The 26,028-nt window shown below is 51.9% G+C and overlaps 1 protein-coding gene, 1 long non-coding RNA gene and 2 other non-coding genes across 7 annotated transcripts in view, besides 7 other annotated features; 3 read left to right on the plus strand and 1 right to left on the minus strand.

The window, feature by feature from the left end:
* The window catches only part of PNKD (PNKD metallo-beta-lactamase domain containing), a 76,275-nt gene extending 53,972 nt beyond the window's left edge, over positions 1 to 22,303 (plus strand). For 2 of the 4 annotated variants that reach the window (NM_015488.5, NM_022572.4), the window contains 8 exons: positions 15,293 to 15,408; positions 15,539 to 15,651; positions 16,238 to 16,296; positions 17,044 to 17,136; positions 17,491 to 17,654; positions 19,010 to 19,096; positions 19,965 to 20,080; positions 20,318 to 22,303. In NM_015488.5, the coding sequence (NP_056303.3) occupies positions 15,293 to 15,408; positions 15,539 to 15,651; positions 16,238 to 16,296; positions 17,044 to 17,136; positions 17,491 to 17,654; positions 19,010 to 19,096; positions 19,965 to 20,080; positions 20,318 to 20,491 (922 nt within the window). In that variant the 3' untranslated portion in view covers positions 20,492 to 22,303. The remainder of the gene's footprint in view (positions 1 to 15,292; positions 15,409 to 15,538; positions 15,652 to 16,237; positions 16,297 to 17,043; positions 17,137 to 17,490; positions 17,655 to 19,009; positions 19,097 to 19,964; positions 20,081 to 20,317) is intronic. The other 2 variants (XM_017003771.2, XM_017003772.2) reach the window with 1 other exon arrangement.
* Positions 1,751 to 26,028, minus strand: part of CATIP-AS2 (CATIP antisense RNA 2) — a 31,726-nt gene continuing 7,448 nt past the window's right edge. The window contains exons 3-4 of the long non-coding RNA NR_125777.1: positions 3,314 to 3,469; positions 1,751 to 2,657 (exon numbers count right to left, since the gene is read on the minus strand). This is a non-coding gene — a long non-coding RNA (CATIP antisense RNA 2). The remainder of the gene's footprint in view (positions 2,658 to 3,313; positions 3,470 to 26,028) is intronic.
* Positions 2,019 to 2,763: an enhancer, noted in NCBI's record as "H3K4me1 hESC enhancer chr2:219191232-219191976 (GRCh37/hg19 assembly coordinates)". NCBI's record gives its function as "activates a minimal SCP1, AML or CMV promoter by ChIP-STARR-seq in naive H9 embryonic stem cells {active_cell/tissue: H9 hESC(naive)}" and the evidence as "EXISTENCE:reporter gene assay evidence [ECO:0000049][PMID:30033119]".
* On the plus strand, positions 4,090 to 4,190 carry LOC124906179 (small nucleolar RNA U13). Its single transcript, XR_007088764.1, has one exon. It is a non-coding gene; the product is annotated as a small nucleolar RNA U13 (small nucleolar RNA).
* Positions 5,145 to 5,354: an enhancer, noted in NCBI's record as "active region_17120". NCBI's record gives its function as "activates an Ori minimal core promoter by ATAC-STARR-seq in GM12878 lymphoblastoid cells {active_cell/tissue: GM12878}" and the evidence as "EXISTENCE:reporter gene assay evidence [ECO:0000049][PMID:35858748]".
* Positions 5,145 to 6,010: a biological region, named in NCBI's record as "H3K4me1 hESC enhancer GRCh37_chr2:219194397-219195223".
* Positions 5,184 to 6,010: an enhancer, noted in NCBI's record as "H3K4me1 hESC enhancer chr2:219194397-219195223 (GRCh37/hg19 assembly coordinates)". NCBI's record gives its function as "activates a minimal SCP1, AML or CMV promoter by ChIP-STARR-seq in primed H9 embryonic stem cells {active_cell/tissue: H9 hESC(primed)}" and the evidence as "EXISTENCE:reporter gene assay evidence [ECO:0000049][PMID:30033119]".
* Positions 6,095 to 6,144: an enhancer, noted in NCBI's record as "active region_17121". NCBI's record gives its function as "activates an Ori minimal core promoter by ATAC-STARR-seq in GM12878 lymphoblastoid cells {active_cell/tissue: GM12878}" and the evidence as "EXISTENCE:reporter gene assay evidence [ECO:0000049][PMID:35858748]".
* On the plus strand, positions 17,421 to 17,490 carry MIR6810 (microRNA 6810). The gene has a single exon (NR_106868.1). It is a non-coding gene; the product is annotated as a microRNA 6810 (primary transcript).
* Positions 19,028 to 19,527: an enhancer, noted in NCBI's record as "H3K4me1 hESC enhancer chr2:219208241-219208740 (GRCh37/hg19 assembly coordinates)". NCBI's record gives its function as "activates a minimal SCP1, AML or CMV promoter by ChIP-STARR-seq in primed H9 embryonic stem cells {active_cell/tissue: H9 hESC(primed)}" and the evidence as "EXISTENCE:reporter gene assay evidence [ECO:0000049][PMID:30033119]".
* Positions 24,424 to 24,974: an enhancer, noted in NCBI's record as "H3K27ac-H3K4me1 hESC enhancer chr2:219213637-219214187 (GRCh37/hg19 assembly coordinates)". NCBI's record gives its function as "activates a minimal SCP1, AML or CMV promoter by ChIP-STARR-seq in naive H9 embryonic stem cells {active_cell/tissue: H9 hESC(naive)}" and the evidence as "EXISTENCE:reporter gene assay evidence [ECO:0000049][PMID:30033119]".

The raw sequence follows: 26,028 nt of genomic DNA on the forward strand, positions 1-26,028 counted from the left end.
AAAACATGGTGCTGGAGGGTGGGGTGGGGATCTTGTGTTTGTGCCTTTTGGGGCATTCACATCTCTAATATCCTAAACCTTGGTCGCAGTTTAGATAATGTGCCAAGTAAGTTACCATTGCTCTGCACGTTGCATTAAAATAATGAGATTGAAAAATATTTAGGCCAGGTGCGGTGGCTCACGCCTGTAATCCCAGCACTTTGGGAGGCTGAGGCAGGTGGCTCTCCTGAGGTCAGGAATTCGAGACCAGCCTGGCCAACATGGTGAAACGCCATCTCTACTAAAAATACAAAAATTAGCTGGGCACGGTGGTAAGCGCCTGTAATCCCAGCTACTCAGGAGGCTGAGGCAGGAAAATTGCTTGAAGCCGGGAGAGGGAGGTTGCAGTAAGCCGAGATCGCAGCCATTGCACTCCAGCCTGGGCGACAGAGTGAGACTCCGTCTCAAAAAACAAAAAAAAGAAAAAGAAAAAAAAATCCCAAACATGAAGGTATCTAAATAATTTTCTTTTTTTTTTTTTTTTTTTTTTTTTTTTGAGACGGAGTCTCGCTCTGTCACCCAGGCTGGAATGCAATGGCATGATCTCAGCATGGTGAAACAGGGTTTCACCGTGTTGGTCAGGCTGGTTGCAAACTCCTGACCTCATGATCTGCCCACCTCAGCCTCCCAAAGTGCTGGGATTACAGGCATGAGCCACCGCACCCGGCCTTTTTTTTTTTTTTTTTTTTTTTTGAGACGGGCTCTTGCTCTGTTCCCTAGGCTGGAGTGGTGCAGTGGCACAATCTCAGCTCACTGCAACCTCCGCCTCCCGGGTTCAAGCAATTCTCCTGCCTCAGCCTCCTGAGTAGCTGCGACTACAGGCACCTGCTACCATACCCAGCTAATTTTTGTATTTTCAGTAGAGATGGGGTTTCATCATGTTGGTCAGGCTGGTCTTCAACTCCTGACCTCATGATCTGCCCACCTTGGCCTCCCAAAGTGCTGGGATTACAGGTGGGAGCCATTGCGCCCAGCCCATATTTGGGATTTTTAATGAAAACATTTTCTCCCCACAAAATTTCTGGGAATTTTACAGCCTTATCTGGGGAAAGATTTTTAAATCTACTTCTAGCTTTCAAAATTAGTAAGTTTGAGGTCATACAAATGGCCTGAGGAAGTGGAAAATAGAAGTTTCCATAAGGAACTGGAATCAGAATTCCTGAGATCAGAATGCCAGGATCACTATCTCAGAATCTTGAGGGTGTGGGTATGCCTGGAACTTGAGACGTGGGATTTTACAAATCTCCAAAACTCTAATCATTGGAGAGCTTCTTCAAAATGCAGTATTTCTACAGGCTTTCCTGTGTCTGGATTTCAAAGTTGCTTTGGAATCCACTCCTCAAATTTGCAGAGAGAAGGGTGCGCCTGGAGTCAGAATTCCAGACCCTGCTCCTCATAGTCTGGGAAACAATCAGTCCAGTCCCCAGGGGGAGATGCTGCTGGCTGCTGGGAGGGAAAGGAGATATTTGCAGGAAACTGTAGGGGGGAAATGGGCAGGTGTTGGTGCTAGGGGTGCCTCCAGGAAGGATGGGGAGGGAGGGGGAACGGAATGGGACAGGACATGATGGGGAGGGGGAGGGCACATGCACTACCAACCTGAAGGTGTGGCTGGGAGGATCGCAAATAGAGGATTCTACTGGGGGTGGAAAGGCAATGATGGAAACACCAGGCTCACCGGGAGGAGAGCTGTTGACCATGTTATCATTAGTAATCATCATCCCTGGTGTTTGGCAATTTAATAAAAGGCTTTCCTTAACCATAACTACAATTGTCTTAGGATGAGGATAGCTGAGCACAGTGGCCACAGGTGAAACTGGTGAGACACATGCATTTGGGGCTCTGTGGGGCCTGGGAGACAGTGTGGATTGTAGCAAAGCACACAGCATGTGGGGTCGAACAAATCTGCTTTTGCATCCTAGTTTTGTTGCTTAGTAGCCATGTGACCTTGAACAAATAACTTCTCTGTGCCTTAGTTGTTTGCATCTATAAAGTGGGGTTGGGGATGCCTACCTCATAGGGCTCCTGTGAAGATCAAATGAAACCGCATCTAAAATACACAGGGCCTGGCTCAAAAAGAGTGTTCAGGAAATGTTAGCAGGTGTTCCTGATGTGGCCTGGAGTTGGGTGGGAGAGTATCTATGGCCCTGTGTCCTTCTGGAGCTTCCTTACTTAATTCCACCCCTGTCTTCCAAGCCTGTCCTACCCACCACCCAGCAGGAAACTCCACATCCCTTCATTCAGCCAGGGAACACCTAGCTGCCCTAGGTAAGGACTGTGGGGTCCCAGATATGAACAGGTTCTGATCGCTGTTCTGCAGGGAAGGGGAAAGCACAGGTGAACAGATATAAACAAGGGCCCAAACCCGGGAGGAGGCAGGCCGTGGCAAGCTCCCCAGAAGCAGCACAATATGCCTGGGGAGTCAGATCAGGAATGTGGGACTCCCCCGTGCGTGCCCCCTGCTTCATGCCTCAGTTGCCCTTTTGCCTTCTTAGGGGTAGTGGTGGGGGTTTTGCAGAACAAAGTCTTGAGGAGAGCCTCTGTCTGCAGAGGGGAGACGAATAGGACACAGGCAGGTCTGGGAGTGTCTTGCAGAGCCGAGGAGGTGGGTAGCAGCTGGCCTGTGGAGAAAGCCAGTCCTAGTGACAGCCTTCCCTCCCTGACCAAGCCCCCTCTCCATTCCTAGGCATAGAAGGTCCTTCCTGACCCTGGCAACCCCCCCTGGGACGGACCTAGCTTGCTCTACTTCTGCAAGAGGAAAGCCGTTATCTGGGGCCAATGCGTCCCACTGGCTTGATTTCAAGAGTGGCAGAAGCCTGATGGAAGGGTCCTTGAGTGAATCCTCCCAGCCCCCCGAATGAGGCCAGGTAGATGCAGTGAGCTGGGCTATCCATGTCGCAGCCTGGCAGGAGGGGAGCAGGATCCTTTTCCTTTCTGGGGCCTGTGGGACCGTGGAGAACTGTGGCCAGAGCACCCACAGCAGCCTCATGCCTCCCTGCTGCTCTCTGCTCTCCCCACTGACACAGCTTCCCCCTGCTGCCTGGTTCGTCTTCAAAGTGTGGCTCTGATCAAGTGTCCCCTTCTGCAAGCCACATTGCCGACAGTATGGAGCCACGCCCCTCGCCCAGGCCTTTGCAGCCTTCCCACACCCCCTACAGACCTGCCCAGTTTCATCTCCCCCAGGCCTGAGCTGTTCCTGCACTTCTGTCTGACCTGTCCTGCCTTCCTTCCTCCCTACATCTCTACTGTCAAATTCTGTTGCATCTTCAAAGCTCACCTTCAAAGGTACCCAGAATGTGAACACTTCTCCCTGCCTCCACTGCCACCACTCTGGGCCAGCCAGGAGAATCGCTTGAACCCAGGAGGCAGAGGTTGCAGTGAGCCAAGATTGCGCTATTGCACTCCAGCCTGGGTGATAAGAGTGAAACTCCATCTGAAAAAAAAAAAAAAAAAGGAAACTGTTACTTAAGTCAGGAATGGATTACTTCTCTGCTCAAACTCCTCCGGCGAGTTCCCACCTCTCTCATGAAGTCCAAGTCCATTCGAAGAGTGGCTTCAGGGCCCTCTGTGACCTGCCCATCCTTACCACATCTTTTAGCACCCTTCAGCCTGTTCCTCTGTCTCAGCCACAGCTGGTGGCCTCTCCACGGTGCTTCAGTCCTAGCTGAGAGGTCTGGGCTAATTCTGTTTCTGCCGGTCGTAATCCCAGGCCTCAAATACACCAAGACAACCCTACCATCAGGCCTTTCTGTGGCTCCACATGGCTTGCTGCCTCACTTCCTTCAGGTCTCTGCTCAAATTTTGCCTTATTTGAGAGCCCTGCCCTGACCACCTCACATAAAAATAGCACCACCCTCACCCCTGCACCCTGTCCCCTCTCTGGCTTTATGTTCACCCTAGTTCACATCACCATGGGACACACTAAATGTTGATTGTTTTTCTCCCCCAACCAGAATATGGCTACACAGGGGGAGAAACTTTGTTCAAGACTGTATCCCAGATTCCAGAACAGTGCCTGGCACCTAGGTGGCCCTTACTAAATGCCTCTGAATGATCCTTTTGTAATTCCTAAGTATGACTGGGTTTTCACACACATAGGTAAGATGCACCTCCCTCAAACCTTGTGATGATGTCAGCACGGTATCCGTCTGATGTGAAAGAAAAAAAGTTTCTGAATGAATGCATGCGTGCATGAATAAATGAATGAAAAGCTTGGCTCAGGTGCCCTTTTCTCCATGAAGCCTGCCCGGCCTCCTCAGTCAAAATGAACCTCTGTCTCCAGACCGCCCCCAGCACTGTCTTCCCTCTTCGAGCTTCCCGTGCGCATTCTTGCTTGTACTGGAGTTAGGTGTTCACGGACCGGCCTTCCTGACTGCTCTGTGTTCCTAAGGGGCCTTGGGGCCGGGCACAGTGGCTCACACCTGTAATCCCAGCACTTTGGGAGGCCAAGGCAGGTGGATTTCTTGAGGCCGAGAGTTTGAGACCAGCCTGGTCAACATGGCGAAACCCCATCTCTACTAAAAGATACAAAAATTAACTGGGCATGGTCACGCACCCCTGTAATCCCAGCTACTCAGGAGGCCGAGGCAGGAGAATCGCTTCAAACTGGGAGGCAGAGGTTGCAGTGAGTGGAGATCGCGCCACTGCACTCCAGCCTGGATGACAGAGCAAGACTCTGTGTCAAAACAAACAATCAAGCAAAAACTAAGGGGCCTTGGAGCAGACCCGGCTCCACTAGAACCCTGTGTCCTTGGTGGCCCTCTGGGACCCTCAGGCCTAGCTCAGGGAGCATGATCGAATCAGGAAGGCCTGGGATTGCGATGAGCGAGGAGAGAAGGGGAAAGCCACAAGAAACAAACCAAAACTAAACAAAGCCCAGAGCCCTTGGCGGGCAGGTGGCCTGGGATTACACACATGGAGACAGAACTAGCCAAGGCCTCCCAGCCAGGGCTGAGACCATGGAGAGGCCACCAGCTCTTACTGTGCTTCTGGTCCTAGCCAAGAGCCCTCAGCAGCCCCTCCCCTTCCGTCAGTGACAGATGGGCGTCCTCTGGAGAGGGCTGTGAAGTCTGGGGAAGAACCTGTCCTGGGATGGGCAGGGCGATGGCAGACCCTGACCTGGGGATCTCCTCTTTTGACCACGGAGCAGCCCTGTCCCTCTCCTGTGCATGCGGAAGTCCCCACGCCCCCAGGCATGCTGGCAACTTCGGGGAAACCCTTACCCTCAAGGGCTTTTTAGCTGTTTTGTTATCTTCTTCAGTTTCCTCAGTTTTGAGAATGCACAAAACATGGAGCTGCTCTCTGCATTCCTGAGGGGCCTCTAAGCAGACCTCGGGTCCCATAGAACACTGTGTCCTGGTGGCCCTCCAGGTCCCTCAGCTCTCAGACAGGCACTTTCAGTTCTGTTTCATTAGGAGTGCCCTGTCGTTGGTGAGATGCAGAGCCTGGGCAGTCTGGGTCCTGAGGACATGAAGGGAGAAACCAGAACAGTCCCCGGCCAGGCCCCACCAGCCTGAGCTTGCCTGTTGGGTCCCAGTGGAGTCTGGGGCCTTGTGGGATCGGGGGGACATTTAAGGGGTGTAGGAGGAAGGGAGGAGTCAAGGCAGGTGACCCTGGCAATAGGGGCTTTCCAGATCATTCTGTGGGAGGCAGAGCCCCTGTTATGCTGCTCCCCTGCCTTCCACCCTCCTTCCTACTCCCCCTGGCCTGAGGCCGGCCCTGGGCCTAGCTGGGACAGAGGCTTGAAAACCTTCAGGCTTCTCTCAGGGCTGCCCAGGATGGTGAAATGGCCCCACGGAGGAGAGAAGAGCTTCATTGTGTGTTTTCCACTGTGTGCCAGAGGGAGGGGCGTCTGGGGGGGCAGTGGCTCACTGTCCCCAGCTGTCCCACATTGCCTCCCACGGGGCTGGAGGCTCACATTCAGATACCAGAGACACCAACTGCTGGCTCACTGAGGCAAGGAGTGGAAGGTGCACTTTGACCCTACACTGGAGGTGCTGGTGCTGTCTGCAGCTGTAACCCCACAGGGAGGGTCCCTTGGGGCAGCTGCCACTTGCCCAGGCTGGCTGCTCCCCATCTTGCAGAATGGTTTTTCTGCCTCCCACCTAAGTCCCAGAGGACCAATTGGGAAATTTTATTTTCTTTTTGGTGAGGTGATGATGGGTAGTTCCTGTCCCCAGAACTGCTGAATCAAAATCTAGGAAGAGGGAGGAGGAGAAGAAGGTCAGAATCTTTTTGTTTAACCAGCACCCCCAGATCATTCTAATATAGGTGGGCCAAGGCCCATCTTAGAGAAGCACTGTCCTGGATCCCAGCTTGCTGACTGTGCCTGGGAAGCCCATGGAGAGAGCGTGAACCCACATCTGGGCCTAGGGCATCAGTATTTTCTTGTGAGTCACATGAACTTACTGGCCCAGCCTGCAAGGGAGCACTCAATTTGACAGAAAGGGAAACTGAGGTTAGGGGAGTGAGTTCCTGCTTCTTGCCTCCAGCAACAGAAGAAGCCGTATCTCTGGTAATGGCTTAAGAAACCAGGGGCCATAACATGGGGCAGTGACATCCTGGGAAGGTGGGACGGGGGATTGAAGACAGAAGGGCACAGGTTCCAGCCGGACATGGTGGCTGATGCCTGTAATCCCAGCACTTTGGGAGGGCGAGGCAGGTGGATCACCTGAGGTCAGGAATTCAAGACCAGCCTGGCCAACATAGTGAAACCCGTCTCTACTAAAAATGCAAAAAATGTGGTAGTGGGCACCTGTAATCCCAGCTACTTCGGGAGGCTGAGGCAGAAGAATCGCTTGAACCCGGGAGGCGGTGGTTGCAGTGAGCTGAGATCATGCCATTGCACTCCAGCCTGGGCAACAAGAGCGAAGCTCTGTCTCAAAAAAAAAAACCCAAAACAAATATACAGGATTGTTTTGCATGCTTTTTATTTTTATTTTTATTTATTTATTTTTTTATTTTAGAGGGAGTCTTGCTCTGTCACCCAGGCTGGAGCGCAGTGGCACAATCTTGGCTCACTGCAACCTCTGCCTGCCAGGTTCAAGCAGTTCTGCCTCAGTCTCCCAAGTAGCTGGAATTACAGGCTTGCACCATCATGCCCGGCTAATTTTTGTATTTTTAGTAGAGACGGGGTTTCACCATATTGGTCAGACTGGTCTCCAACTCCTGACCTCAGGTGATCCATCCACCTCGGCCTCCCAAAGCACTGGGATTACAGGCGTGAGCCACCGCGCCCAGCCATGCTTTTGTATTTTTAATGAATATAGTCATATTGTTTTCTCTGTGGTATGTCTCAGCATAACAATACGTGCTTGAGCTTTGTGAATGTTGAAACCTGTTGCTCTAGATCATGTGTTTCCCTTGCTGTGCAGTTTTCCAAGGTCTGAGTATGTTGGGATTTATTTGTACATTTTGCTGGTGGCAGTCATTTAGGGGGTTTCCGCCCTTTCACTCTTGGGAGCACGGGATTATCACTGGGCGGTACAGGAGGGGAGGAGGCAGTCCCTGCTGTGGTCTCAGTTTCCAGAAGGCCTGACTGGAAGTTGGACATTTGCTAATAAGCAGTGAGGAGCCACTGAAGACTTTTGAGCAGGAGCAAGTCTCAGCAAAATGCGGCGCTTTAGGAACTTCTTTTTGCCAGTGCTTTGCAGTTTGGGTTGGAGGTAGAGAGCTGGGGGACAGAGGCTCTTGTAAGGCCCTAGGTGAGTTTCCAGGGCCTGTTCTCACAGGTGAGGCTGCGCTGGGGGCAGTGGAAGGCAAAATTGAGAGGGATCCTGTTTTGGTTGCATATGCCAGGGAGAGGGCTAAATGCAACTGCGAGGACAGGGGGCCTTTCCCAGAAAGAGAAGAAGCAGGATGGGGAGCTGACCATGGGGACTGTCACTCACCAATTCTGCAGGCAGATGGAGGGAGAGCCTAAGCTAAGTGGCTTAGAGAGTCCTGTGGAAGCCCTTGGCAGGGCAGGGCACAGGGCTGGGGAGAGCCACTAGGTCCTCAGGCTGCTCTCCCCTTCCCTTCCTCCTTCCCCATCTCAGCCCTGCCTTCTCCTGCTTTGCCCAAAGATCAAGACCTCAGGCCAGCAAGGACTGCAACCTGTCCCTAGCCCACATCCAAGCCAGGCACAGGTCTCCCATCCCCCTGCCACCCCACCCTCTCCACCTTCAGCACCCCCTCTATCCAGGCCCCTGTCTCTCTCCCACCTGGATGACTCGGTACCTCCTGCCCCTTTTCTCCACTCAGCAGCCCAGTGAGCTCTCAGAAAGGGAGTCTGATCCTGTGCACCCTGTTCTAACAACCACCAGCCATTTTCCACTCTCTGCATGGCCTGGCCCCTGCCCACCTCACCAACCCCTTCTCCAGCACTGTTGGTCCCTCCAGCCCTGCCCAAAGACTCCGAGGCCTCCTGACAATTCCTAAAATTCCACACTCCTCCTGCCTTGGTGCCACATCACCCAGAACCGTCCATGCCGCTGGCTCGGTCTTGCAGTTTCCAGCACGAATGTCACCCTCTGGGGACGAGGCCTTCCCTGGGCACCCTGTCTACAGTAGGGCCTCTTCCCTTCCGGCCACTCTTTTCCACCCCCAGCCATAGTTACTGGCAGTTTGCTGACTAATCCGGTTTCTGGTTTAATGTCTGTTGGCCCTCCCTTTCCCCACATTACAAGCTCCCCGAAAGCAGGACCCCTTCTGCCTTGTTTCTGCTGTCTCCACTGTGTCCATCATGCACAGTATTTGCCAGATACAGCGAGTGACAAGGAGGGGCCTTGTTTACTGCGGCTTCTTGGTGCAGAGTCCCTGCCCGCACAGATCTGTCCTTTCTTAGGGACAGAACCTGGGAACACGTAGTCAGCATTTAGTAAGGGGAGGCGGGGAGCTTATCACCCCTCCCAGATGTGCATGACCCTGCTCTAGCAGCTGGGAGGACTTCCTGGCTGAATTTGGGAAGGAAACAACAGTTGCTAAACATCTTCCACTTGCCAGGCTCTCGGCTGAGTGCTTTACATTAGTTTTCTTATTTTAGGCACTTAATCTTCACACAGTCCTTCGGGGTAAGTCACAGCATTGCCATGTTATAGATGAGGAACCTCATCTGTGAAACTCATGACTTGCCCAAGGTCACAGAGTCAACAGGGGCCAGGCTATGATGGGAGCCCAGATCTTTCTGTTGCCAGAGCCTCTGTTCTTTCCATAAGCCCATGTAGCGAGAAATGAAGACAGGAATGGGACTCAGGCATCGGTGCAAGGTGGTGTCTGTCAGAGGAAAGGGTGATTTTATTTAATTTTATTTTTTAACTTTTCATTTTGGGCCAGGCGCCGTGGCTCACACCTATAATCCCAACACTTTGGGAGGCCAAGGCGGGTGGATCACCTGAAGTCAGGAGTTCCAGACCAGCTTGGCCAACATGGTGAAACCCTGTCTCTACTAAAAATACAAAAATTAGCCGGGCGTGGTGGCGGGCACCTGTAATAGCAGCTTCTAAGGATGCTGAGGCAGGAGAATTGCTTAAACCCGGGAGATGGAGGTTGCAGTGAGCCGAGATCATGCCACTGCACTCCTGCCCGGATGACAGAGCAAGTCTCAGTCTAAAAACAAACAAACAAACACAACTTTTCATTTTGAAATGATTTCAGACTTGTCAAAATAGTATATAGCATTCCCATATGCCTCTCGCCCCTGAATACTATCGTCTTTCATAATCACAGTACAGTCATCAAAACCAAGAAATTAACATCAATACTATCCTATGAAGTATTCTCAGAGCTTACTCAAATTCACTATTTTTCCCTGCTGTTGCCCTTTCTCTGATCTAGAATCCAGTCCAGAATCCCACGTTGCATTTATCTCCTGGTCTCCTCCAGTCTGGGACAGTTTCTCAGTCTATCTTTCATCTTGTCAATACATTTGAAGAGTAGAGCCTGGGCAACATTTGAAGAGTAGAGCCTGGGCAATCATCTCTATACTAAAAATTTAAAAAACTAGCTGGCATGGTGGCACGCACCTGTAGTCCCAACTACTCAGGAGGCTGAGGCGGGAGGATCGCTTGAGCCCAGGACATTAAGGCTGCAGTGAGCTATGGATCACATCACCGCACTCTTGACCTGGGTGACAGAGCAAGACCCAAAAAAAGAATTATAGATTTGCATTTTTGGCACAAATACCACAGAAGTGATCTTATGCCCTCCTCAGTGCATCATACCAAGAGGCAAATGATGTCTATATATTGTTACTGGTGAGATTAACTTTGATCACTGGCTTAAGGTGGAGTTAGCCAGGTTTCTATGGCCTTTATAATTAGTGGTTATTTTGTGAAGGAGATACTTTGAGATTATGCAAATATCCTCTTTCTCATCATACTTGGGTGATTTGACTGGGGTCTCCAGGTGTTAAGAGTGTGCTCTTGTGTGTTAGAAACTCTCGGTGTTAGCCTGGGAGCGAATCAAGACATCTTCTCTTCAAAAAAATAATAAAAATAATTAGCTGGGCATGTCTGCTCATGCCTGTAGTCCCAGCTACTCGGGATACTGAGGTGGAAAATCGCTTGAACCCCAGCGTTTCAGGCTTCAGTGAGCTGTGACTGAGCCACCACACTCCAGCCTGGCTGACAGAGGAAGATCCCATCTCTTTAAAAAATAAATAAATAAATAAATAAATATAAATATAAATAAAAATGGGCTGGGCGCGGTGGCTCACGCCAGTAATCCCAGCACTTTGGGAGACTGAGGCAGGCAGATCACCTGAGGTCGGGAGCTCTAGACCAGCCTGATCAACATGGAGAAACCCTATCTCTACTAAAAATACAAAATTAGACGGGCGTGGTGTCGCATGCCTGTAATCCCAGCTACTTGGGAGGCTGAGGCAGGAGAATTGCTTGAACCTGGGAGGTGGAGGTTGCGGTGAGCCAAGATCACGCCATTGCACTCCAGCCCAGGCAACAAGAGTGAAACTCCATCTGGAAAAAAAAAATGTTAATTGTCCTGTCTGTCCTACTAGATAGAACCTTCACAAGGACAGTGAGTTTGCCTTGCTCAGTGTGTGTTCAGTGCCTGGCCAATAGCAAGGATTCAGTAAATATTGTTGAAGAAATGTAAGTTGGCCAAATCTAATTTAGAAATAAAACCAAAAAAAAAAGAAGGCCTACGAAAAAGGAACATAAAGACAAATAAAGGTTGGCAAAGCCCTTCAACCATGTGCCCAGATTGCCAATCAATATAAACCCATGGGTACATAGAGCAGACAATGCAGTGATTAAACTTTACCTAAATCATATCTACAAATTGCCATGGAAACCTGCTTGGTTTTGACCCAACTGCTTGCAGACAAATCAGCTAGCTCTCCCCTTAGGGGTCTGAAGAGCGGCTGCCCCTGCTCCCACATACACGGTCAATCCTTGTAGAGACTTAGGGTCAGCCAGGCGTGGTGGCTCATGTCTGTAATCCCAGCACTTTGGGAGGCCAAGGCGGGTTGATCATGAGGTCAAGAGATTGAGACCATCTTGGCCAACATGGTGAAACCCTGTCTCTACTAAAAGTACAAAAATTAGCCAGGCGTGGTGGTGGGTGCCTGTAATCCCAGCTACTCGGGAGGCTGAGGCAAGAGAATCACTTGAACCCGGGAGGCAGAGGTTGCAGTGAGCCAAGATCGTGCCACTGCACTCCAGCACGGTGACAGAGTGAGACTCCATCTCAAAAAAAAAAAAAAAGTTTGGAAAAAATAGCCATTAAAAGTACTAAAATATGAAGCTTTTTTTCTTCTACAATCTCTATTTTGACCTGTGATGTTTTTAATTTGCTATTTAATGTCATTCTAAGTAAGAAGCATTTAAATTATTAGCAGGAATTTTACCATTTGCTTAATATTGTGCAATGCCTGTTTTAAATACAAATATAAGGACATTTAACTCCTGTAGAATCACAGAAACGACATAATTAATATTTCTTAGCTTATACATGGATGTGTATTTAGTTCTTACCAGGAGAGGGTCTCCTCTGTCACTCAGACTGGAGTGCAGTGGTGCAAACATGGCTCACTGCAGCCTTGACCTCCTGGGTTCAAGTGATCCTCCCACCTCAGCCTCCCAAGTAGCTGGGACCACAAGTGCATGCCACCATGCCTGCCTAATTTTTGCATTTTTAGTAGAGACAGGGTCTCGCCATGTTGCCCAGTCTGGTCTCAAAATCCTGGGCTCAAGCACTTCTTCCATCACCACCTCCGAAAGTGCTGGGATTACAGGAGTGAGTCACCACACCTGGCCTTCAATTCTTTTTTTTTTTTTTTTTTTTTTTTTCAGACAGAGTTTCACTCTTGTTGCCCAGGCTGGAGTGCAATGGTGTGATCTTCTTGGCTCACCGCAACCTCCGCCTCCCAGGTTCAAGTGATTCTCCTGCCTCAGCCTCCCAAGTAGCTGGGATTACAGGCGCCCACCACCACACCCTGTTAATTTTTGTATTTTTAGCAGAGATGGGGTTTTACCATGTTGGCCAGGCTGGTCTCCAATTCCTGACCTCAAGTGATCTACCAGCCTCTGCCTTCCAAAGAGCTGGGATTACAGGTGTGTGCCACTGCACCCAGCCTTCAATTCTTTTCTTTTTTTTTATTGAGATGGAGTCTCACTCTGTCGCCCAGGCTGGAGTGCAGTGGTGAGATCTCGGCTTACTACAACCTCAGCCTCCCAAGTAGCTAGGATTACAGGCGCCTGCCACCACGCCCAGCTAATTTTTGTAGTTTTAGTAGAGATGGGGTTTCACTATCTTGGCCAGGCTGGTCTTGAACTCCTGACCATGTGATCCACCTGCCTTGGCCTCCCAAAGTTCTGAGATTACAGGCATGAGCCACCGCGCCCGGCCTTCAATTCTTAATACGTGCACATTCTGCCAGCACTGTTGGCTTGCTAGTTAATAAGGAAGGATGGAAAGGAAAAGGATGGATTGGTTACCCTATCTTCCCTTTCCTTTCTATATCGCTATTTGCAGCATAAATAGGTGGATAACACAAAAGCAAGAAAGGATGCAGCAGAGTTCCTTGGTCATTCGTGTTTCTTAGAACACCTCTGTCTTTGTGCACTTGAAGCACGTTCTAGTTTGAACTGAAAGCTTGGCCTCTTGGGTCAGTCATAGGTGTGCACTCGCCTTGTACTTGCTTTGAGTCTTGTTGAACTCCCATGCGTTGTGTGTCCCCCAGATTTGTGTGCTCATGGGCATTGCAGACTCTGTATAGGTATGATAAGCGAGGAACGGAGCACACTCACTGTGTGTGTCTCTTGCTCCCTGCATGTCCCACTGTCCTATCAGGCTCCACTTGCAAGACACAAGGTCAAAGATAAAATCATTAAGAATTTCAGGGTCGGGCACGGTGGCTCACCCCTGTAATCCCAGCACTTTGGGAGGCCAAGGTGGGCAAATCACGAGGTCAAGAGATCGAGACCATCCTGGCCCACATGGTGAAACCCCATCTCTATTAAAAATACAAAAATTAGCTGGGTGTGGTGGTGCACGCCTCTAGTCCCAGCTACTCAGGAGGCTGAGGCAGGAGAATCGCCTGAACCTGGGAGGCAGAGGTTGCAGTGAGCTGAGATTGCACCACTGCACCCCTGCCTGACGACAGAGTGAGACTCCCTCTCAAAAACAAACAAACAAACAAAAATTTCAGGCTTGGCCAGGCACAGTGGCTCACACCTGTAATCCCAGCACTTTGAAAGGCCGAGGCAGGCGGATCACCTAAGGTCAGGAGTTTGAGACCAGCCTGGCCAACGTGGCAAAACCCTGTCTCTACTAAAAATACAAAAAATTGCCGGGCATGGTGGTGTGAGCCTGTAATCCCAGCTACTCGGGAGGCTGAGGCAGGAGAATCACTTGAACCTGGGAGGTGGAGGTTGCAGTGAGCCGAGATTGCACCACTGCACTCCAGTCTGGGCAACAGAGCGAGACTCTGTCTCAAAAAAAAAAAAAAAAGAATTTCAGGTGGGACACGGTGGCTCACACCTGTAATCCTAACACTTTGGGAGGCCAAGGCAGGAGGATTTGTTGAGCCCAGGAGTTCGAGACCAGCCTAGACAACAAACTGAGACCCCATCTCTACAAAAAAGATAATTGGGATTACAGGTGCCCATCACCACACCCGGCTAATTTTTGTATTTTTAGTAGAGACGGGGTTTCACCATGTTAGTCAGGCTGGTCTTGAACTCCTGACCTCAGATGATCCACCTGCCTCGGCCTCCCAAAGTGCTGGGATTACAGGCGTGAGACACCACACCCAGCCTCAGATGATTTTTTTTTTTTTTTTTTTGAGACAGGGTCTTGTTTTGTCACCCAGGCTGGAGTACAGTGGTGCAATCATGGCTTACTGCAGCTTCACCCTCCCGGGCTCAAGCAATCCTCCTGCCTCAGCTACCTGAGTAGCTGGGACCACAGGCGTGTGCCACCACGCCCAGCTATTCTTTTTTTTGTGTGTGTAGAGACCCTATAGGGCACAATGTTGCCCAGGCTGGTCTCGAACTCCTGGGCTCAAGTGATCCTCTCTCCTTCCCTCCCAAGGTGCTGGGATTACAGGTGTGAGCCACTGTACCCAACCTTCTTCAGATGATTAGGATGCATGCTAAAGTCTGACCACCACTGTTCTTTCTGAAATATTTTTTCTACCTCATTTCAGCCTCCTAATTCCTACTCCTTCTTCCCTGCAAATGTCACTTCATCAGAGGTGCTAGACCCTGGGCTAGATTAAACCCCTCACTCTCCAAGTCTCTCTTTTTTTTTAGACAGAGTCTCACTCTTTGGCCTGGGCTGCAGTGCAGTGGTGCGATGCCCAATTCTCCTGCCTCAGCCTCCTGAGTAGCTGGGACTACAAGCGTGTGCCACCACACCCGACTAAGTTTTGTATTTTTAGTAGAGACAGGGTTTCGCCATGTTAGTCAGGCTGGTCTCGAACTCCTGACCTCAGGTGATCCGCCCACCTCGGCCTCCCAAAGTTCTGGGATTACAGGTGTGAGCCACTGCGCCTGGCCTCTCCAATTTTCTTCTGTGAGTTCCTCAGTTCATGTCTCCCTGATAGATTTTGAGTTCTAGGTGTGTCCGTCTCATTCTCCATCTTGTCCTGAGTGCTAAGCAGGGCAAACAGTAGGCACATAATAAGTGAGAGTGGAATTGCATTGGCTCACAGGGTCACCAAAGGAATGGAGATGTGGGGCCTGCAGGCATCACGAAGGAGTCTAGGGGAGCTAGGGAGAAAAGGCTAATCATAGGCCACCCACTCGCCCTCTAGGTACAGCCTGTACACCCGCACCTGGCTCGGGTACCTCTTCTACCGACAGCAGCTGCGCAGGGCTCGGAATCGCTACCCTAAAGGCCACTCGAAAACCCAGCCCCGCCTCTTCAATGGTGAGCTCTGACTGCCCCGGCCAGCATCCCCCATTCTGTGCCCCCACCCTCCCCGCCTGCTCCCCTTCACATACCCCAGCCCCTGGGCTCCCTGCCTGTTACCCCGCCCACAGCCCATCTCTGTCCCCAGGAGTGAAGGTGCTTCCCATCCCTGTCCTCTCGGACAACTACAGCTACCTCATCATCGACACCCAGGCCCAGCTGGCTGTGGCTGTGGACCCTTCAGACCCTCGGGCTGTGCAGGTGAGGGGAGGGCAGGGAGCAGGGGGTGCCTGGAGTCACCTTGGGGACTGGCAGTTTCGCCTTGCTAGAGAGGGCTGACCCTTGTCCGTCTGCCCGTGGGATGTGTCCCATATGCTCCATGTTCACACGTGCACATGCGCACACATAGCCTGGGGAAGGGGGGTACAGGGCATGGCTGGGCAGAAGGGGAGAGCAGGAGTGGGGGATGCAGAGCCAGAGGGCTGGGGGTGTTGGCCCAGGACTCTGGGTCTAGTGAGTTTCCAGGCTGGCTTTCACTCCCATTGGCCCCCTTCAGACCCCCTTTCTTTCTGTCACCTCTGTCTGTCAGTATCTGGGTCTCTCTGTCTTTCCCTCCCATTCCTTATCTCTCTGTGTCTGCCTCTCTCTATGTACAAGTGTCCCTCTGCCTCCATGTGCCCCGTGCTTCACATTCCTGGATCTCTCCCCTCCAGCTCCATCCCTTTCCTCTGCTTCATCTCTCCATGCTCTCCTCTCCTCTCCACCAGCGCCCACACTCCTGGCTCTTGCTGCTTCAAGTGCCTCTTGCATCCTGCTCCCCAGTCTCCAAACCTCCTCTCTCTCGCAGGCTTCCATTGAAAAGGAAGGGGTCACCTTGGTCGCCATTCTGTGTACTCACAAGCACTGGTAAGGGGCTCCCGTCTTCCCTGGCCCACCCTTGTCCCAGCTGGGCTTGCCAGGACTGGGCCCATTGAGGACGGCCGGGGCCAGAGATCAAGAAGTCAGTACGGGCCGGCACCCGCCTTCCTCGTGAAGTCACCTGGACACCAGCAGGGAGGGAGGAGAGGGGACAGTCTCCCACCACTCCATTGATCAAGCTTCTGAAGCCCCAGAGGGCAGGGCAGTCATTTCTCTTTCATTTCATGGGCATGTATTAGATACCTACTGCACACTGGGCATGGACAAAAGTTATGACTCTTCCATCAAGGAAATTCTAAGACCAATAGGGGAGGTAGCCCTGTATCAAAGTATATAACAGCGGAGGCAAGAGGGTTGGGAGTTCAAGCCCAACCTGGGCAACATAGTGAGACCTTGTCTTCAAAAAAGAAGTATGTGATATTTAGGTAACAGTTGGCACAGGGAACAGGGATGGGAGGCCCAGGCACGGTGTGATCAGATCCACTTGGAGAATTGAAAGATGATGACCTGAGCTGAGGGTTCAGGAAGCTCGGCTGGCATTGGCCAGCTTGAGTTGTTGGGGGCGATGTTCTGGGCAAGGGAACAGCTTGAACAAAGGCCTAGAGGTGTGGACAACTTGGCTTAGTCCAGAAGCCACAGCCCCAGCACTTAAAGGCCTGGAGATGCTGTGGTAAAGAAGGGGGCTTAGGTACAGTTGCCCCTCGAAGCCCCCTGCCTGTCTCTGCTGTCCTGCAGGGACCACAGTGGAGGGAACCGTGACCTCAGCCGGCGGCACCGGGACTGTCGGGTGTACGGGAGCCCTCAGGACGGCATCCCCTACCTCACCCAGTAAGTCCCTGACCTAGGCAAGGGATGGCCCTTCCATGGGCCCTTTCCCCCACCCCCAGCCTTCAGTGAAGTGTTTCAGGGGTATCAGCAGGTGGATCTTTGCCAGTGCCCTTCCTGGCCCAATCCCAGCCTATCTGAAGACTGGCACTGCCCATCCCCCAACTGATCCAGCCATAGTCCCCAAAAGAGGAAAGGGGGAGGGTTCGGACCTGAGACCCGAGGCACTGGGGTGACTTCTTTTGTATGGAAGCCCACTCTCTTGTGAATCACCCAGCCCCTTGGGCCTGGGATGGGGACAGGGATCAGCATGGCACAGATCCAATACCTTCTGTCCCCTGCTCCCTTGTTCCCCAGTCCCCTGTGTCATCAAGATGTGGTCAGCGTGGGACGGCTTCAGATCCGGGCCCTGGCTACACCTGGCCACACACAAGGCCATCTGGTCTACCTACTGGATGGGGAGCCCTACAAGGGTCCCTCCTGCCTCTTCTCAGGGGACCTGCTCTTCCTCTCTGGCTGTGGTGAGTTTCCCCGAAAGAGAGAGGAGCTGGGAGAGGAGGGAGAGACAGAAGCCAGGGCAGCCACAGTCCCATGGAGAGCACTGAAGCCTTAGTTTTAGCACAGATGTTGCCGTGGCAGTTACTTCCATCTGTGTTACTCAGATTGGTTTTAATCCTTGAGACTTCCCTTGGGGCACCTTGGGAGGCTGAGGCAGGAGGATCACTTGAGGCTAGGAGTTGGAGACCAGACTGGGCAAAATAGCAAGACTGTCTCTACAAAAAAATTTTAAAATAGGCCAGGCGTGGTGGCTCATGCCTGTAATCCCAGCACTTTGGGAGGCTGAGGTGGGAGGATCACCTGAGGTCAGGAGTTCAAGACCAGCCTGGTCAACATGGTGAAACCCCGTCTCTACTAAAAATACAGAAATTAGCCGGGCATGGTGGTGCATGCCTGTAATCCCAGCTACTAGGGAGGCTGAGACAGGAGAACTGCTTGAACCCGAGAGGTAGAGGTTGCAGCGAGCTGAGATCGCGCCACTGCACTCCAACCTGGAAGACAGAGTGAGACTCTGTCACAAAACAGAAAAAAAAATTTAAATAATATAAATAATATAGGCCAGGAGCAGTGACTCAGGCCTGTAATCCCAGAACTCTGGGAGGCCAAAGCAAGTGGATTGCTTGAGCCCAGGAGTTCAAGACCAGCTTGGGCAACATGGTGAAACCCCGTCTCTACAAAAAATACAAAAATTAGCCAGTGTGGTGGTGAGCCCAGGAATTCAAGGTTGCAGTGAGCTATGATTGTGCCACTGCACTGCAGCCTGGGCAACAATGAGACTCTGTCTCAAAAATAAAAAAGACTTCTGCCAGCTGCGGGACAGAATGGGAGAATGTCTGTAGCTGAGTAAAGCCCTGCAGGGAATTAGTTTCCCCTGGGTGGAGACTGGTTCTCTGATACAGTGACTGGCAGGACTAGGTTATGAAAAGTTAAGAACAGCTAGGTGAGTGGGTGGGTGAGGATCACAAGTCCCAGGCTGCATGAAATCCCAAAGGGCAGCCTAGGCGAAGAAGTGTTCCGTGGGAAAGAGCAGCCCTGCGTCTACCAAGCCTGGGGCCTGCAGCCCGAAGATTCCACAGCCCCTCCCTTCAGGTGTCACTGTGTGCAACGGAGGCCTCGGATGGGCTTGGTCAGGGGGTGACCAGTTGGGCCCAGTTCCCAGTGAGGAGGGAATAGATGCCTGGGGTGGGTCTGGAAAGTGCACAGTCAGGGCTGACGGCCAGCCAGAGCATTACAAGCTGGTTCCCACCTGTCTGGGTGTGCCTTATGCCATATTGTGTTATCCTGGCACCTTGTGACATACCCTCCAACCCCCACCCAGGGCGGACCTTTGAGGGCAATGCAGAGACCATGCTGAGCTCACTGGACACTGTGCTGGGGCTAGGGGATGACACCCTTCTGTGGCCTGGTGAGACACCCCCTTACTACTCCCCATCCTCCAGCCCCACGCTCAGCCTGGGACAAGGGCCTTCCCACCCCCTCACTCCCCTAGAAAGCAGGCCAGCCCAGTTCCTGGCCCAGAAGCGACACAGCTCCACCTCTAGGGGTAGGGACAGAGTTCTGGCCTCCCTTCTTCCTGGAGTGCTGGCTCCGTACCACCTCTGCTTCTCACACTACCTTCCCCTGCCAGTCAGCCTTCAGCCTCTTGGGAGCCTTGCAGGCCCCAGGGCATTCCAGAGAGATGTCTAATTGTTCATAGCCTTAGCCCAGAACAGAAAATAGCCTTTGCTTATCTGGGGAGAAGTCAGTAAATCCACTCTGCATGTAACCATTGCCTTGTGGTGCATAAAAACATTCACAGATATCTGTTAATCCTCAGAACATATATTCATTCATTCATTCATTCATCAAGTACTTTATGTGCACCTAACACATACCAGGCTCTGTTCCAGGCACCAGGAACACAGCAGGTACATCTGTGTCTGGTGGCATCATTGTTCTCTCCACTTGCCAAATGAGAAAATTGTGCCTCAGAGAGGGGCCATGACTAGACCGAGGTCACATGCTAGGCTTGGTGGAGTCAGGGCTAGATGCAGGCCTGCCAGCTCCAGGTCTAGTGGTTTTTTCCCCTGGAACTATTGCCACCTTTTCACCCATGGCTGACTTGTGCCCACAGTTAGAGAAGCAGCTCCTGGCAGTTGGGGTTTTCCTGGAAGTGCTGACCTCATCCCTAGTTGTCAGGTGCCCATCAGCCTGGACCTGGGGCAGGGAAGACTGTTCTGACTGTACCACCAATCTCTCTCTGCTCTGTGTCTCACCCTCATGGCTGTCGGTAGGTCATGAGTATGCAGAGGAGAACCTGGGCTTTGCAGGTGTGGTGGAGCCCGAGAACCTGGCCCGGGAGAGGAAGATGCAGTGGGTGCAGCGGCAGCGGCTGGAGCGCAAGGGCACGGTGAGGGACTCGGGGTCCAGGAGGAGCTGTGTGGGCAGGCACTCAGCCCCAACGGGAACCCATCCATGCTGACCCCAGGCCTGCGAGCACCTCCCCAAAACTCTGACCTCTTTGGCCCATGGGCCCTCAAGTCAGAACTCCTGAACTCCAGGATGGGGCAGGGGTCGGGTCAGGCTTCTCTGTCTTGGGTCCATTTCCCAGCTTCTCTCCACCAAACCTGGTTCCTCTCACCCACAGTGCCCATCTACCCTGGGAGAGGAGCGCTCCTACAACCCGTTCCTGAGAACCCACTGCCTGGCGCTACAGGAGGCTCTGGGGCCGGGGCCGGGCCCCACTGGGGATGATGACTACTCCCGGGCCCAGCTCCTGGAAGAGCTCCGCCGGCTGAAGGATATGCACAAGAGCAAGTGATGCCCCCAGCGCCCCCAGCCCAGCCCACTCCCCGCATGGGGAGGCCGCCACCACCAACACCTCATCATCCTTCTCATCGCTAACACCACCACCTCCATCGGCACCCAAGCGGGCATCATCCCCCCACACTGCTCAGGGGAGGGGAGGGATCAGGCGATGAGACTGTGAGGCCAAAAGAAGGGGGCCTGTTGGAGGCTGGGAACCCCGCAGCGCGAGGCTGCCTCATCAACGGCAAGAGGAAAGGAGGGGTCTCGGGACATCTCCAGACCCTACCAACTGGGAGGGTCCCCTCCTCCTTCCCTACTCCTGGGACGGCAGCAAGGACATGGGGGCTGCTGTTAGCTTCTCCGTCAGGAGGCCTCATCTCACTGTAGCCCTGGAACCCAGGGTCCATCTTGCCCTTCCCCCATCCATGGTTGGGAAAGAAGCTCAGCCCCTCACAGTGGCCTCAAGTGTGATGCCTTACAAAAGCACCACTCAGATGGGCAGCTGGACTCTGGTGTCCTGAGACTCTGCCCTCTTCCCACAGCCTCCCTGCCCCACCCATCCCTGCAAAGCCATTTTTCAGACAGAGCCATTCCTAAGAACACTGAAGGGCTGGAATGCTGGCTGGCCACTCTCTGCCTCAGTGGCCTCCCTACAGCCTGGAAGAAGGAGGGTCCTGATTGCCAAGGAAACCTCCTCATTGGGCTAAGGAGACACTGGAGTCTGGAGTGTGGAGCCCCACAGTCTTGCAGGTCACATGCTCTCCTTGCACATCTGGCCTGGTTGTACCCACTGGCCTCTGCCTCTGCCCTGGGCCAAAAGGGCCCCTCCTTGCCAGGGGAGAGACAGCCACGGTCCTCTTTGGCCGATGCTGTATTCTCATTTTGGCCCTTGTTCTTAGGCCCGTCTGCCCGCCTTCCTCCATCTAACCTTTCCTGTTTTATCCGCAGCCCTTTTCTTCTTTGAGTTAGTAAAGATTTATTCTGTAACCTGACACTCATCTGGCCCTTTGCAGTTTGCCAGCCATATTCCCATGTGATTTCCCACTGGATCCAGGCCCCCATCCGGCTGGCAGGAGGGGGCTCTGACGTGCAGGTTGGAAATCAGAAGTCTGTGAGAGCGCGGGAGTGCATGGCAGCTCTGGGTCCCAGACCTGGCCCGACCCCTCTGCTTCACCTCCAGCTCTGCTGCTCCTCTACTCTTGGGTCGAGATCCCTTTGGAGCCACAGCGAGGAACCCTGTGGTCCTCAGGCAGGTGTACCTTGAGTCAGCCAGGAGCCCTCTTTTCCTGTGTCAAAGCCTGCCCTCGGGCTCTGCTCACCTCTGGTGACCCTCCAAGATGCCCCTGCCCTCAGTTTCCCCTCATGATCTGGCCTCTGCCCCCTTCTCTAGCCACAGCCTCTAGTACACTTTAGCAATACCACCAGACTAGTTAGAGTTCCCCACTCACCAAGCAAGACATGCAGTTTCATGCCTCTGTGCCTTCGCTCATGCTGTTTCTTCCGACTGGAATGCCTTCCCCTGCTCCTCCTGCCTTGTCTGCCTGGCAAGTTCATCTCTCACGATCCCCTCAAAGGCCCCCTCCTCCAGGAAGGCAACCCCTGTGCCCCTCCCCTCCAGGCTACCTCTGCACTTTGTCAATGCTTCTCTTGTGGCACTTATCACACTGTATTTTACTTGTTTACATGTTTGTCTCCCCTTCTAGACTGTGAATCCTTAAGGGCATGGACTGTATCTTATGCATCTCTGTATTTCTGCGCCTAGCACGGTGCCTAGCACACAGTAGGCGCTCAATAAATGTTGAATGAATGAATGATTTAATCAAGACTTGATCACCCAACAGCTTGTCTTTGTTGCTACATGAGTGAAAACAGCAGAGAACTTTCTCACAGTTTTCCCATCTCAGTTCCAGGCCTGCTAACTTGCAGTTAGGCACTTCAAGAGTTTTGATCAGAAATGATGCCCAAAGGCTGGGCGCAGTGGCTCACACCTATAATCCCAGCTCTTTAGGAGGCTGAGGCGGGTGGATCACAAGGTCAGGAGTTCGAGACCAGTCTGGCCAACATAGTGAAACCTCATCTGTACTACAAATACAAAAAATTAGCCAGACATAGTGGCAGGAGCCTATAATCCCAGCTACTCAGGAGGCTGAGGCAGGAGAATCACGTGAACCCAGGAGGCGGAGGTTGCAGTGAGCCGAGATCGCACCACTGCACTCCAGCCTGGGCGACAGAATGAGACTCTGTCTCAAAAAAAAAAAAAATTTTTTTAAAAAGAGAGAGAGAAATGATGCCTAAAATATGTTCTTCCCAAGGCCCATGGGCATTTGTTCAGGGTTTACGATTTGCTTATCTCAATGTTTCCCAAAGCTTGAGATACACAAGTGTACCACTGGCCAAAGTAGGGTGGCTGTACATGGCCACAGCACAGCAATCAATTGGACTTCAAGGACACGGTCTTGGCACTAGTCTGTCTTTAATGTCTTTGGAAAGAAAGACCCGGGATCCAGGTTCATACTTTAGTTGGGAAATGTCTGTAGTTAAGCTTTAACAACATCGTTTTGTTTTCATTATATTTATATTTGGGTTCAATATTTATTTTTGACAAGTGACACTGGTTTTCAGTTCATAAAAATGATTAAAGGGCCGGGCGTGGTGGCTCACGCCTGTAATCCCAGCACTTTGGGAGGCTGAGGCAGGCGGATCACGAGGTCAGGAGATCACGACCATCCTGGCCAACATGGTGAAACCCCGTCTCTACTAAAAATACAAAACTTAGCAAGGCATGATGGTGAGCGCCTGTAATCCCAGCTACCCAGGAGACTGAGGCACGAGAATCGCTGAACCCGGGAGGCAGAGGTTGAAGTAGGCCAAGATCGCACCACTGTACTCCAGCCTGGGCAACAGAGGGAGATTCTGTCCCAAAAAAAAAAAAGATGAAATTTGGGTGGGGACAAAAAGCCACACCATATCATTATAATAGAACAACTTATATTCCTTTGGGTATATAACCAGTAATGGGATTGCTGGGTCGAATGGTAGTTCTGTCTTTAGGTCTTTGAGGAAACACCACACTGTCTTCCACTTTGGTTGAACAAATTTACACTCCCGCCAACAGTGTATAAGCGTTCCTTTTACTCTACAACCTTTCCAGCGTCTGTTATTTTTTGACTTTTTAATAACAGCCATTCTGACTTGTGTGAGATGGTATCTCATTGTGGTTTTGATTTGCATTTCTCTAATGATGAGTGATGTTGAGCTTTTATTCATATGTTTGTTGTCCACATGTATGTCTTCTTTTATTTATTTATTTATTTATTTTTAATTGATCATTCTTGGGTGTTTCTCGCAGAGGGGGATTTGGCAGGGTTATAGGACAATAGTGGAGGGAAGGTCAGCAGATAAACAAGTGAACAAAGGTCTCTGGTTTTCCTAGGCAGAGGACCCTGCGGCCTTCCGCAGTGTTTGTGTCCCTGGGTACTTGAGATTAGGGAGTGGTGATGACTCTTAACGAGCATGCTGCCTTCGAGCATCTGTTTAACAAAGCACATCTTGCACCGCCCTTAATCCATTTAACCCTGAGTGGACACAGCACATGTTTCAGAGAGCACAGGGTTGGGGGTAAGGTCATAGATCAACAGCATCCCAAGGCAGAAGAATTTTTCTTAGTACGGAACAAAATGGAGTCTCCTATGTCTACTTCTTTCTACACAGACACAGCAACAATCTGATTTCTCTATCTTTTCCCCGCATTTCCCCCTTTTCTATTCCACAAAACCACCATCGTCATCATGGCCCGTTCTCAATGAGCTGTTGGGTACACCTCCCAGATGGGGTGGCCGCCAGGCAGAGGGGCTCCTCACTTCCCAGAAGGGGTGGCCGGGCAGAGGCGCCCCCCACCTCCCAACGGGGCGGCGGCCGGGCGGAGGCGCCCCCAACCTCCCGGACGGGGCGGCTGGCCGGGCGGGGGCTGTCCCCCCCTCCCTCCCTGATGGGGCGGCTGGCCGGCCGGGGGCTGGACCCCGCCTCCCTCCCGGACGGGGCGGCTGTCTTCTTTTTTTTGTTTTTTGAGACAGAGTCTCCCTCTGTCACCAGGCTGGAGTGCAGTGGTGCGATCTCGGCTCACTACAACCTCCACCTCCCGGGTTCAAGCGATTCTCCTGCCTCAGCCTCCCAAGTAGCTGGGACTACAGGTGCATGCCACACACCCAGCTAATTTTTCGTATTTTTAGTCGAGACAGGGTTTCACCGTGTTAGCCAGGATGGCCTTGATCTCCTGACCTTGTGATCCGCCCACCTCAGCCTCCCAAAGTGCCAGGATTACAGGGGCGTGAGCCACCTCACCTGCCAATTTCTTTCTTTTTTTTTTTTTTTTTTTTTTGAGACTGAGTCTTGCTCTGTTGCCCAAGACTGGAGTGCAGTGGCACGATCTCTGCTCACTGCAAGCCCCGCCTCCCAGGTTCACACCATTCTCCTGCCTCAGGCTCCTGAGTAGCTGGGACTACAGGCGCCCACCACCACGCCCGGCTCATTTTTTGTATTTTTAGTAGAGGTGGGGTTTCACCGTGTTAGCCAGGATGGTCTCGATCTCCTGACCTCATGATCCACCCGCCTCAGCCTCCCGAAGTGCTGGGATTACAGGCATGAGCCACCGTGCCTGGCCTCAATTTCTTATTCTTAATAACTCCTACCACATTCCTCCCTGCGGCGATATCACGCTAACTGCTGTTAAGGGGTTTTGGGCAACGACTCTTTCTGGCTATTTCCTACTGAAAAGGGATGTTGAATGGGGAACAGCAGCCAGGGCTCCTGCTGGGGTTGATTTAGGGGTTCTTGGAAGAATGGCGTGTCCGTGTGTGGTTCAGTTTGCAGCACCATTTGGGGTTTGATTGCTTCTAGGCGAGAAGAAACAATTTGAGTTATAGTACTGAGTAGACTTCGTCCAAATATCAATACAAGACATATAAGCAAGAGAGGGCTTAATAAACGGATTAACCATTCCATAAAGAAGACTGTAATTTATTAAAGAGGGATTGTAGCCACTGAGGGCTGAAGCTGGCATTTTCCCTGAGCCTGTTAATAATTTTGATTTTATCTTTAGGTACCTGTAGATTTTCCTTTACTTTACTAGGTGTTAATCCAAAAGCAGCATGTTTCATTTAAAAGTGCATCACTAGGGCCAGGTGCGGTGGCTCATGCCTGTAATCCCAGCATTTTGGGAGGCCGAGGCGGGCGTATCATGAGGTCAGGAGATCGAGACCATCCTGGGTAACACAGTGAAACCCTGTCTCTACTAAACAAATACAAAAAATTGGCCAGGCGTGCTGGCGGGCACCTGTGGTCCCAGCTACTCAGGAGGCTGAGGCAGGAGAATGGTGTGAACCCGGAAGGCAGAGCTTGCAGTGAGTCAAGATTGCACCACTGCACTCCAGCCTGGGCAAGACAGCAAAACTCCATCCCCCACCAAAAAAAGTGCATCACTAAACCCAATTAAAAAGTCCTAGCTGACTTAGTGATAGTAAAACTTTTATGCTTCCTTTTTGTCAATAACTA

This window comes from Homo sapiens, chromosome 2, assembly GCF_000001405.40.
Source record: "Homo sapiens chromosome 2, GRCh38.p14 Primary Assembly".
NCBI lineage: Eukaryota > Metazoa > Chordata > Mammalia > Primates > Hominidae > Homo > Homo sapiens.